Source organism: Homo sapiens, chromosome 17, assembly GCF_000001405.40.
Source record: "Homo sapiens chromosome 17, GRCh38.p14 Primary Assembly".
Lineage (NCBI taxonomy): Eukaryota > Metazoa > Chordata > Mammalia > Primates > Hominidae > Homo > Homo sapiens.
In genome coordinates this window covers 74,081,450-74,093,517 of record NC_000017.11, presented here as the reverse complement: position 1 = coordinate 74,093,517, position 12,068 = coordinate 74,081,450, and the positions used below count along the sequence as shown (strand labels likewise).

The window sequence follows — 12,068 nt, the reverse complement described above, 5'->3', positions numbered from 1 at the left end:
ATCATCAATGTGACAGTATCGGGTGGCAGGAACTTTAAGAGGTAATTAGGTAATTAAGAGGTCTTTTTCCTCATGAATAGATTAATGCTATTATTGCAGGAGTGGTTTAGTTATTGCCAGAGCGGGCTCCTGATAAAGGGATAAGTTGTGCCCATTTCTTTCTGTCTTTTGTGCAAACTTCTGCATTCCACCTGTCTACCACAGGGTGGTCATTCCCTGATGCCAGCATCATGCTTTTGGACTTCCCAGCCTCCAGAACCAAATAAACTTCTTTTGTTTATAATTTACATAGTCTGTGGTGTTCTGTTACATTGGCAGAAAACAGACTAAAACAGACTCCAAATGCATTTCAGAGCTCTTTGAGGCTACTCCTCCCATTACAGGCTGAGAGCTCTAGCAGGGCAGAATGATTTTGAGGGATGATCCTGGGGTACCCTTCATGGGCTTGCTGCCCAGAGCCACGTTGGGCTTCTGTTCCCCACATTCAGGTGCAGAGCTCCTCAGCCACCCCAACCATGGCTCAAGTAGGCCCAGATGTGGCCTGACCCACTACAGAAGTTACAAGCTGTGAATCTTGGCAGCATTCACATGGTGCTGATTTTGCACATGTACAGAATATAAGAGCTATGGGGGCATGACTTTCTCTACCTAGATTTTAAAGGATGATGTGGACAGTCGAGGGCTGCAGCCACAGACTTGTCACCAGGGGCAGAGCCACCATAGAAAGCAGCCCCTACTAGGGCAATGCCAAGTGGAAATGTGAAGTCAGAGCTATGACGGAGTCCCCACTAGGGCAATGCCGAGTGGGGCCATTCCCAAGACCCCAGTACTATAGAGTAACTAGCTTGAGCTTGCAGCAACAGACTAAGAGAGCTGCTGGCGGCCAGGCATGGTGGCTCATGCTTGTGGTCGCAGCACTTTGGGAGGCCGAGGTGGGCAGATCACGAGGTCAGGAGTTCAAGACCAGCCTGACCAATATGGTGAAACCCCTCTCTACTAAAAATACAAAAATTAGCTGGGTGATGTGCACCTGTGGTCCCAGCTGCTCAGGAGGCTGAGGCAGAAGAATCACTTGAACCCTGGAGGCAGAGGTTGCAGTGAGCCGAGATTGCACCACTGCACTTGAGCCTGGGCAACAGAGCGAGACTCCATCTCAAAAAAAAAAAAAAAAAAAAGGCTGCTGGTCTGAGACTCCAGTCCATGAGATCTGCTGGGTGAACTGAGCCCAGTAAAACCATGGTTGTGGGGCCCAGTCTTTATCCTAGTGTTTCCAGAAGGCAGGGCATGGAGTCAAGAAAAGTTATTTGGAAGACTTAAGACTTAATGTTGTTTTCCCCATTGGGTTTTGGACTTACTTGGGGCTTATTACTCTTTTCATCTTGCCTATTTCTTCCTTTTGGAATGGGAGTGTCTCTTCTATACCTGTCCCACCATTGTATTTTGGAAGTAGATAACTTACATTGATTTCACAGCTCATAGCCGGAGGAAATTTGCTTTAGGATGAATCATGCCTTCCATCTCACCCACATCTACTTTAGGTGAGACTTTGGATTTTGGTCGTTTGAGCTGATGCTAGAATGAATTAAGACTTTGGAGACTATTAGAATGGGATGAATGTATTTTGCAGGGTGAAGATATAAATTTGGGGACCAGGAGTGGAATGTTATAATTTGAACACATCCCCCAAAATTCATGTATTGGAAGCACAATCCCCAATACAATTGTGTTGAGAGGTAGGACCTTTATGAGATGACTAGGTCATGAGGGCACTGCTCTTGTGAATAGGTTAATGGTATTATTGTGGGAGCGGGTTCCTGATAAAATGGATAGGTTAGGTTCCTTTCTCTCTTGCTCTTATTGGCACGTACTTTCTTGCCCTTCCCCTTTTGCCATGGGATGACATGGCAAGAAAGCCCTCATCAGATGATAGCACTATGCTCTTGGACTTCCCAACCTCCAGAACCATAAGCCAAATAAATTTCTATTGTTTATAAATTACCCAGTCTGTAGTATTCTGTTATAGCCACACAAAACAGACTAAGACAAGATCTAACATATTTTTGATATCATAGCTTCAAGTTAATACCGTACCTGAGGGTAAGAGAAATAGTTAGCTGACCAACAAAAATATGTTCCACATCCATGGTGTATCACCATTTCTGGAAAATAGCTGCTCAGTCATGGATTATATTTTCCAGCCCCTCTTGCATCTAGGTAGGTCCATATGATTAGTTCTCACCAGTGGAATTTGAATGGAAATGATGCATATTACTTCCAGGCCAAGGTGGTTGAGCATTGGGTGGGAGATTCTCCATGTTTTCTTTCTTTTCTCATCTTTCAGCTCAATATAGGGAATCCCTAACAGAGGACTTCCAGGATATCCTAGGGACAGCAGAGCCTCAAGATCCAGGGAGGATCCTGGATACCTGAGTCACCACTTGGAGGGGAATCTCCTGGAAGAACTGATTGATCAGCAACATCTACATTCAACTTGAGGTGAGTGAGAAATAAACCACTGAGCAGTTTTATTAAACCACCAAGATTTTTGGGCCAGTTGCTAGCTTTAATTACCCTAATTACTACAGTCAGTAGGCTCAGCTGGTGCTCAGTGTTGCTCCTACTCCCCCTTTCTGTGTCAAATTACCCCAGAGAACAATCAAACTTCTCATCTTAACCATTACCAAATCAGATTGTCTTGGTGATTTTAGCCTGTGCTGGGCTCTGTAAGAAGGGGGGTGCCATGTCTGGGTCTGGAACAGACTGCTCCATGGTTGATCATTTTTATTGTATTTATTAATTCTTTTGTCCATTCATTCACTTACTCCTTTATCAGTTCAGCCTAGTGTGCCGATTGAGCACTAGAGGTGGCATAGTTCTCTGCTGGTTTTTTTGCCCAGCTCTGTGGGCCAGTGGGCCACACTCCCCAACACAGGTGTGGCTGTGGCACCTCTCAACACACCTTTTCCAGTTTACAGTTGGACACCATGCAGGGTGTAGGGCAGTAAAACATCAGAAACCACACCAGTTATTTTAACAGAGAGAATTTAATAGAAGGAGTTGGAGTATTGGAGAACTGCAAAAGTTCTGTGATACTTATGAAGCAATCATAAAGGTAGCAACTGCAAGAAGCAGCCACCATCCCTAGGGCTGAGGGAACAAGGGAAGAGATTGGGATTATTGGAATTTAAAAGCTTGGTGGAGAGGCCACTAGGAGCTGGAACTCAGAGCTCTTCAGGGATGGGGCAGGTGCCAGTTGCTGCTGGGATCTCTGAGAGGGCACAATAAGGCACCTTCTGAAGTGTGGGACAAGCACATTGCAAACTAGGACCAACTACTGACAATAGAACCAGCTCCACCACCAGATTGAAGACCCATCACCAGAGAGGGACAGGAAGCAAAGGAAAGGAACAAGTCCTCCTCCCTCTTCTTGCCTGTCTCCCGAGTGCCCCCTACTGGCAGGAGCTAACTGGGTGCATCAGGCGAAGCACAACCATGGTTTGCAGAGTATGACTGGGAGGTTTGGAGGTAAGAGTCAGCAGTTTAAGAACCAGCACAGAAAGTTCTTAGCTTGGATCTCCTGATAGGTTTGCCGCGAGGGTCCTTCTTGGAGTCTGAGATCCTAGGAAACAGCTCTTGTCCACAGCCTCCCAGCCAGTCGCAGGGCTGACTTCTTGGTCACACACTGATACCTGAACCCTGGTTTCCAGGTCCTAGAGAGACTCATGTAGACAGACACCAGACTTCTCATGTGTGGTCTGTACTGTAGGCTCAGAAGGAGGAATTTTGCATCATTGGCTATTCAAGGTCAGCTGCAGATTGATGCTGGGGTGCAGGGGTAAGATCAGCCCTGTGGATCCTCCCCCTAAGAGGAGCAGCTGGAGGACTGCAGCTCCTCTTGGATTTTCCCAGGAAGGCAGCCATTACCTCTCAGTGTTCTGGCAAAGAGGACTGCAGTCCTTTCATTTATTGCCATGTGACCTTGAGCGAGTGAATTACCCTCTCCAAGTCTTGATTTCTTCCTCTGAAAAATCCCCTCCGAGGGTTGTTATGCAGATTAGGGCTAATGTATATAAAATACAGTGCCTGGCACATGGTAGATACTCCGTAAGTGGCAGGAATTGTTGTTATTTATCAGAGTGGGGGATGACAGAAGCAGCCTTTGCCCTTGAGGCCTGTGGGATGGCATCAATTCTCCGTGGTTGGTGAAGGGGTCCCAGGGAGCAGAAGCATGGGCAGAGAGAGAGCACCTCAGTGCTAGATAGTCCTGAGCCCTCCCCCAGGGGTAAGCCTTGGCCCAGAAGCCCTGGAGGGCCCAGACCCGCAGGGAGAAGGCTGCCCCACCCTGATGGGGCACTTGGAGGCCCAGGGCAAAGGAAACTGCCCTGCCTAGTGGGCGCCTGCCTTCCAGCCTGTGAGAGCCACAGGACAGCTCCTGCAGTGGTCCAGGGGAGGTGTGTGGAGATGCCTGAGCTGCATGCACAGTTTCCAGAGCCTGCTGCTGTGGAAGTTTGGATCTGAGCGAGTGGGTGTAAAGAATGTCAAGCAAGATTCGATTACAATTTTTATTTTGGAAAAACCTTCATCAAAATATGTATATCTAATTAGGACAATTACAGCACAGGAACAAAAAACTGATTAAAAATCAGACACTCCATAAATTACAAGTGTTTTGCTCCAGCTGGGGCACATCTCCGGCTGCTGAGCTGCAAGGCCAATCAATGGAGCTGGGGCTCTGGGAGCAGGAGTGGGAGGTGGTGACACTCAGGACAAGACATGGAAGGGGCTGCTGAGTGCAGGCTGCAGGGGACAGGGAGGCAGCTCAATCTGCTCAGGGCCAGAAAAAGTGGCAGTGCCCTCTCTGAGCAGGGGCCTCTGTCAGTGGGGTCTGGGGAGATGTGGACATGCCTATATGGGACAAGTGTGTGCGTGTCTGTGTGCACTTTGCTGATCTGAGTGGCAGATCATGTATGTGCACATGTGTCTGTCAGCATATGAACATCTGTGCAAACATCTGTGGCACTGCAAGAGGATGCAAATGCCTGAGCAGAAGCAAAATGCACAGCAGCATCTGGAGCCTGCGCCAGAGGCAGGCTGTGTGCAGAGGGACAGCGGGCAGCAAGCCTGTCATATGTGCCCTGGGTGCTACGTGCATGCTGGCCTTGGTGTGATGTGTGTGCAGGGGATGGGGCACAGTGTGTCACAGGCAGGCGGAGCTGCCCTTGGAAGACATCACAAAATGAGGCCATGTCCATGAATACAGCTGCCCTTTATCGAGTGGTTTCTGTGTACCAGGCATTGTGCTAAATCCTTGCCTTAAACCCGCTCAGCAACACTAAAAAGTAGATGTGGTAGGCAGAATTATACTCCCTTCTCCCAAAAGATAGGCACATCCTAATTCCTGGAGCCCTACATGGCAAAAGGGGCTTTGAAGATGTAATTAAGTTAAGGATTTGGGGCTGGGGGGTTTATTATTATCATAACTTGGGTGTGTCTTTAAAGCGGAAGAGGGGTCAGAGAAGGAGATGTGATGACAGGATGGTCAGAGAGATGCTGTGCTGCAGGCTTGGCAGACAGAGGTTAAGGGACCATGCGCCAAGGAATGTGAGCAGCCTCTAGAAGCTGGAAAAAGCAGGGGAAATGATTCCCCCCGAAGCCTCCAGAAGGAACGCAGACCTGCTGACGCCTTGCTTTTAGCCCCATGAGACCCATGGCGGACTTCTAACCTATGGAATTGTAAGATTATAAATTTGTGTTGTTTCAGGCCATTAAATTTGCGACAACATGTTACAGCAGCAATGAAAAACAAATACAGTAGGCAATGCTATCCTGCTACTTTATAGGTGAAGAAATGGGAGCTCAGAGACAGACATAAAGTGGTTTCCTGAGCTCACCCAGTCAGTAAGTGGCAGAGCCACACCCAGAGAGGCAGCCTCACCCCCAAATCTAAGCTGGCGTCTCCAGCCCGACCACTGCACTGCACTGTCTCTCACAGAGCAAATAGCAAGGGGCAGACTTATAATTTCCAGGCAAAGTTAGAGATGTCCTTCCTTAGTTGCCAGCTCAGAGAAGATGGAATTGAGGGCCCTATTCTGGGAAGAGAACATTGAAATGCCTGGACACGTTCCATTTAAAGCCTTCATTGAAAGCAGCTTGTGTATTTTCCCTCTAAGGAGGGGAAGGGGGCTTATGTCTGAGCTCGGATCTAGCTTTGACATACGGTGCTCTCGGCGTCCACAGCCAGTCCCCTCAGAGCACAACTCTGGGCCTCAGCCCCCTCCACTCCCTTTCTTCCTGCTCAACCCAAATCCCCCTTAAGTCTGCACTCTTCTGGACAGAGCTTCTGCAGCCTTTGGAAGCTCAGGGGATTGCTGTGGGCTCAGAAGCTCCCTGCCTTGGGCAGAAGGGTGGGGTGGGATGGGCTTAGAGGCCTACTGGTCTGCCCCACACTATCCTTGTCTGTGGCCATGAGCTGGCCGTGCTGTGCTGAGAGACCTAGAGCCCCTGTCTGAGACGATATGGCATTGGGAAGAGGGGGATGCTGGAAGAGAGTGTGGGGTTAGGAGACAGGTGAGCTGGGCCCCAGCCTTGGCCAGCCCAGCCGCTGATCCCTTTGGGAGGCTTTCTAGACTTACTCCCCCTACTGGGCCTCAGTTTCCTTATCTGTGAACTGAAGCACTTAAATAACATTGCTGAGATTCCGTCTAGCTCGGGGAGTGAGGGTTCTCTTCCTGCCTGCATGCTGTGGTCCAGCATCCTGGGGCCCACAGGTGTTCCTGCCCTACTTGGGTTTTTTTTCTTTTCTTTTCCTTTTTTTTTTTTTTTTTTTTTTGAGACAGAATCTTGCTCTGTCACCCAGGCTGGAGTGCAGTGGCACAATCTCGGCTCACTGCAATGGCCACCTGAGGCGATTCTCTTGCTTCAGCCTCCCGAGTAGCTGGGACTACAGGTGTGCACCACCACACCCAGCTAATTTTTGTATTTTTAGTAGAGACAGGGTTTCACTGTGTTGGCCAGGATGGTCTTGATCTCTTAACCTCGTGATCCACCCGCCTCGGCCTCCCAAAGTGCTGGGATTATAGGCGTGAGCCACTGCGCCTGGCCCCTACTTGGCATTTTCTATAGGGAGAGGTAGGTGTCACAGGAGAGGAGCAAGGGGGCCCTGAAGTGGGTGTCAGGTTTGTGTTTTGGCCTCTCGGGGACTGGGATTGGGGTGGTGAGAGCTGCTTGGCAGGAGGTTGTCCTAAACTCAATGCTAGGGGCCACCCCTGATACAAATCCCACATTGTGCATTGTTCCTCACCCCAGGAGGATGCTTTCTTCCAGGTCTGCTGTCCTGGCAGCTTCCTATAGCCGCAGGGCATGGGGGATGTTGTATAGTAGGAGAGATACTTGCCTGGAGCCACTGCCACCTGATGTAGGTGAGGCCTTCAGAGAGCTTTGTCCGCATCATCTGTGGGTGCACTGGAAGGGGACTTCTGGCTCTTCTCATTCTCTTTTTCCAGTGTGGGGGGGAGGGGATGTTAATAAAGAAATAAAAGTGAACATGACACACCTAAGGTCACACACTGGATTAATGAGAGGCTGGAATCAGACTTTTAAGCTCTTGACCTTCTAGCCTTAAACATCTTTTGGAAAACATGACTTGATCTTCCAGTTTGGGAGGCAAATATATTACAGCTCTTATTTTTTTCCAGTTGTTTGCCAGAATACTCACAATGTCCAGGATCTCCTCCTGTGGCCTCCCTCACACTGGATTTGTCCGAGAATCTCAGGGACTTACTCTGCACTAAGGGGTACAGCCCTATTCCAACAGAGACTTGACAAGTACAGTCTCATTGGTCAATCACTGCCATTACTTCCCACTGCCACCTGATGTCGCTGTTGGAGACTGGGCCTGCAGAGCTCAGTGAGTGACACTGACTAATTAATGGCAGGTGCTTCATGGTCTCAATCCCAACTCAGGGTACAGCAGTGCCACCCAAGGGCATCGAGGTCACAGCCCCCTATAGTTCAGATTTCCATGCTTGGCCAACAACTCCCACTGTGCAACCAAGTGATAGGATGATTTGATCTGGGGAGCTTCCAACATCAGCCTTAGTTTCTAGTAAAATCTACTCTTCTGAACAAACCTTTAAGCCATTGCATTGAGCTGGGTCACCAGCCTAGACTCTTCCTTTCACATGGCAGTTTTATAAAGCAAGAGTTCTCATTGTTTTTCTCAGCCACTAAGCTTTGTGCGTAGCCATGCTGGTCTATCTTGCTTTATCCACATAAATCTCTTTACCTTTGAATCTCGGGAATGGGAGTTGAAGTTTCTTTTCTTTCAAGTCTTGGGTTATATGCTCATTTATCCATTGATTTATTTCATTGGGGCTTTTTTGTTGCAAGTAACAGAAACACAACTTGAATTAGGGAATTCATTGGTCCATGTATCTGAAATGTCCAAGAGTTGTGCTGACTTTATGCATGAGTGTTTCCAGGGGTTCAAACAATGTCATCAGGACTTTCTCTCCTCTTCGAACTTCAATTTGGATTCATTCTCATGACAGGGTCCTGCACAGCACAGGCAGGATAACTACTGGCCCTGCAGGCTCTCATTCACCCAGCACTAGCAACTGTAGTGCAAAATATTATTACAATATTCAGACTCAATAAAAATGATTTTTTAAAAGATAGTTACAAAGGGCCTTTCATACCATCTCATGCCCCATACACAAAAGAAATTCAATAGCAGCTAAGCTATTTAATTCCTGTATCTAAATGCCCCTCCCAAAATATATAATTTCATAGAAAAAGCTTAGTTTGCATTTATGATTTTTAAAAAGATAGTTGCAAATGGCCTTTCCTACCATCTCATACCCCATACACAAAAGTTCAATAGAAGCTAAACTATTTAAGTAATTCCTGTATCTAAATGCCCCCCAAAATATATAATTTCATAGAAATAGCTCTTATTTTGCAAAGCGCAATTCCCAGCCCCTCTGCCTCACACACAGAAATATTTCAACATTAAATTATGATATTATTTCTTCCTTTTTTTTTTTTTTTGAGGCAGAGTCTCACTCTGTCACCCAGGCTGGAGTGCAGTGGTGCGATCTCCACTCTGCAACCTCCACCTCCTGGGTTCAACTGGTTCTCTTGCCTCAGACACCCGAGTAGCTGAGACTACGGGCATGTGTCACCATGCCCAGCTAATTTTTGTATTTTTAATAGAGACAAGGTTTAACCATGTTGGCCAGGCTGGTCTTGAACTCCTGACCTCAAGTTATTCACCCCCTTTGGCCTCCCAAAGTTCTGGGATTACAGGTGTGAGCCACCACACACAACCTGTATTTCTTTCTTTTCTATATTGGCATCTATCTGTTTTTTTTTTCCCCCGATTTAAAGACCTTAACCTTTTTGCTTTTAATAGACTTTATTTCTTAGAGAGTTTTAGGTTCACAACACAATTGAGTGGAAAATACAGTGTTCTCGTATACCCCCTGCCCCTCATACTGAGAGCCTCGCCTCCTATCTATGCAGGCACCTAGGGGTACATTTGTTACCATCTGTGAACCTGCCAAAGTATCATTTTTCCAACAGAGTCAATAGATTTGCCCCAGCAAGACTACTTGGCTGGCTTGAACTCCATGTCCATCTCTGAACCAATCACTCTGATCTGGGGAATGCAGCCCCGAGACAGTTCAGTCACACGATCACATGCATGATGTCACATGATCACTCTGTAACCAGGAGGGATCACTCAGGCCACTGTGTTTGAAGCTCATGTAGTGCATGAGGGGTCTCCCAAAAGAGCCCAAAGAAGGGCTAGAAATTTAAGCAGACAAAAGTGCTTTCCTAAATGCTCACCATGTGCCAGGTATGGTGTTAAGGCGCTGCTTTGGGCCAGCTATCCTGGGCGACCTTTGGACCATCTATTCCAAGTGACCTCTGAATCCCGGGGCTCTCAGGGCATGTCACAGTTTATACCCTTTACCTGCAACAGGTGGTGGCCTCCTTGCCATACACCTGTAGCTTTCAAGGGGTTCCCTCTTGGAAAAGGTCAGCTATGCTGCTGTGAGTTCTCCTCCACTAGATAAGGAAGGGGCTGAGACTATTTCTAAGTGCCCCCCTTCAATGAGCATCTCATTGACTCCCTGCTTTAATAGATATTCTGTTGCATTTTGACATGGTCTGGTCTGAGAGCCTTCCCAGGGAACTTTAATTCTGGGACACCTTGGTATGTTGTGCCCGCGCATGCATATAAGTGTGTCTAGTGGGGGTGGGCGCTAGGGATTTGGACACCCAGTCTTCATAGCAAGGGAGTGGTAGGGGAAGGGGCGGCCATCTGGGCTGCTGCCACACTTTCTCTGTGTCTGTGGCTCCCTGATTATCATTCTGGGCCAAGATAGAAGCAGCTGCGTGGTGGGGGGAAAGCTGACAGGCAGTGGCAGGTAACACCGGCTGCTGGGGTTGGAAGCTGACCAGATCCCAGCAGGGGTGGGAGGATGGGCCTGGAGGAGAGAGAGCCAACTCTCAACACCCCCAGCCCCTAGCTCCCTTTTTATTCAACTCAGCTGCGCTGTCTCCACTGACTCCGGTGCATGGGACAGGCCTGTGGTGCCTCTCCTCCTGGGTCTTCTTCCTCACCCTCCTCTTCACAAGTCCCCGGCAAGGCCTGAGGGAGGGAGGGGAACAACATTTGGTTTGGAAGTTCTTGTGCTGGTCAATTGCCTGCTGGTTCTCAGACCCGTTTTCGATGCTCCTGCTCTGCTTAGCACCTTGAGGGGCTGACCGTGGCAGCTGGCTCCTGACTGGTTTGGACATTAAGTCCCGGCAGGAGATGGGAGCAAGCAGGAGGGAGAAGCTAGAGTATTTTTCCTCCTCCTTTCCAGCATTGCTGGATTTCATCATTGCTTCTGCTCTCTTTAGATAGATCCACCAGCTTCCACGATGGACCTGGCTGTGGGGTCCACTGATGCCTTCTCCTCCGTTTGTCCTCCAGCCTGAGGTGGTAGCAGCTTCCCACTGTTGCTAATTCCCAAATTGCCTCCCTATCCCCTTCTCAGTTCTTCCTTCACCTGTGCAATCAAGTCCCTGCATAAATCTCCCCCTTTTAGACACTCAGAGTGGTGCCTGTTTTCTGCTTGGACTCTGATGCTGCAGCCATCTGATTGGGCCTCAGGCAAACTTGAACTCAGAGCTCCCTCTGCCACTAATGAGCTGTGTAACCTTGGCCTAGTGGCTTTGCTTCTCTGGACTCGACTTTTCTTATCTTGAAATGGAGAGGGGAGTGTAGAGAGCAGCCCCTTCTGAGCGCTGGATCCTCTGCCTGGGGCACTCAGGGCTTTTCCAGCGTTCTTCTGCTGTGGCTCCTGGGCCCCCTCCAGCTGTCTCCACCTCACTTGGAAGAGAGTGAGACACATGCTCATGGGGTGTGGCTTTGAGTCCTAAGCCCCCTTCTCCATGTATGTGGGGTTCATACCCAGGGCCCTGGGTAACACTTCTAGCCCCCAGGTGAGTTGGGAAGAAGACTAGGTGCCTCTGAGGAAAAGCAAGGGTGCCAAGGTGGGGCAGGCACCCCGAGGGCAGGGCTTCTCAGCCGCAGCACTTTCGGTATTTTGGGCTGGATCATTCTTTGTTGTTGGGGTGGCCAGGGCTGTCCTGCACATTGTAGGATACTTAGCAGCATCCATGGCCTCTACCCGCTTGATGCCAGAGCAACACTTCCCGGTCACAATCATCTTCAGACATTGCCAAACATCTCCGGGGGGGCAAAGCTCCCCCTGGTTCAAAACCCCTGATTTCCAGGGGTTTGGACCCCGAAAGTAGGGCTGAGGAGGTGGAGTTGGCTATACTGGGCAGTGGGAACCAGGGAAAATTTTCAGAAGAATCTCTTCCTCTCCTGCCTCCAGCTGCCTCCCAAAATCATTTGGGAGGTGGTAAGGGGAGAGGAGGGGAGCACGGGTGAGGGGTGCGAGGGCTGGGAGGGAGCAGCCAGAGGGTGCCAGTTGTTTTGGGCCCCTGTACTCAGGCCCCAGGTCCAAGTGAGGGGTAAGAAGGCGATGAGATCTGCTGGAAACCCCCCA

At 49.0% G+C, this 12,068-nt stretch overlaps 1 long non-coding RNA gene across 2 annotated transcripts in view; it reads left to right on the top strand.

The window, feature by feature from the left end:
* Positions 1–12,068, top strand: part of LINC02074 (long intergenic non-protein coding RNA 2074) — a 50,789-nt gene that overhangs the window by 19,382 nt on the left and 19,339 nt on the right. For both annotated transcript variants that reach the window (NR_184084.1, NR_184085.1), the window contains one exon: positions 2,342–2,496. This is a non-coding gene — a long non-coding RNA (long intergenic non-protein coding RNA 2074). The remainder of the gene's footprint in view (positions 1–2,341; positions 2,497–12,068) is intronic.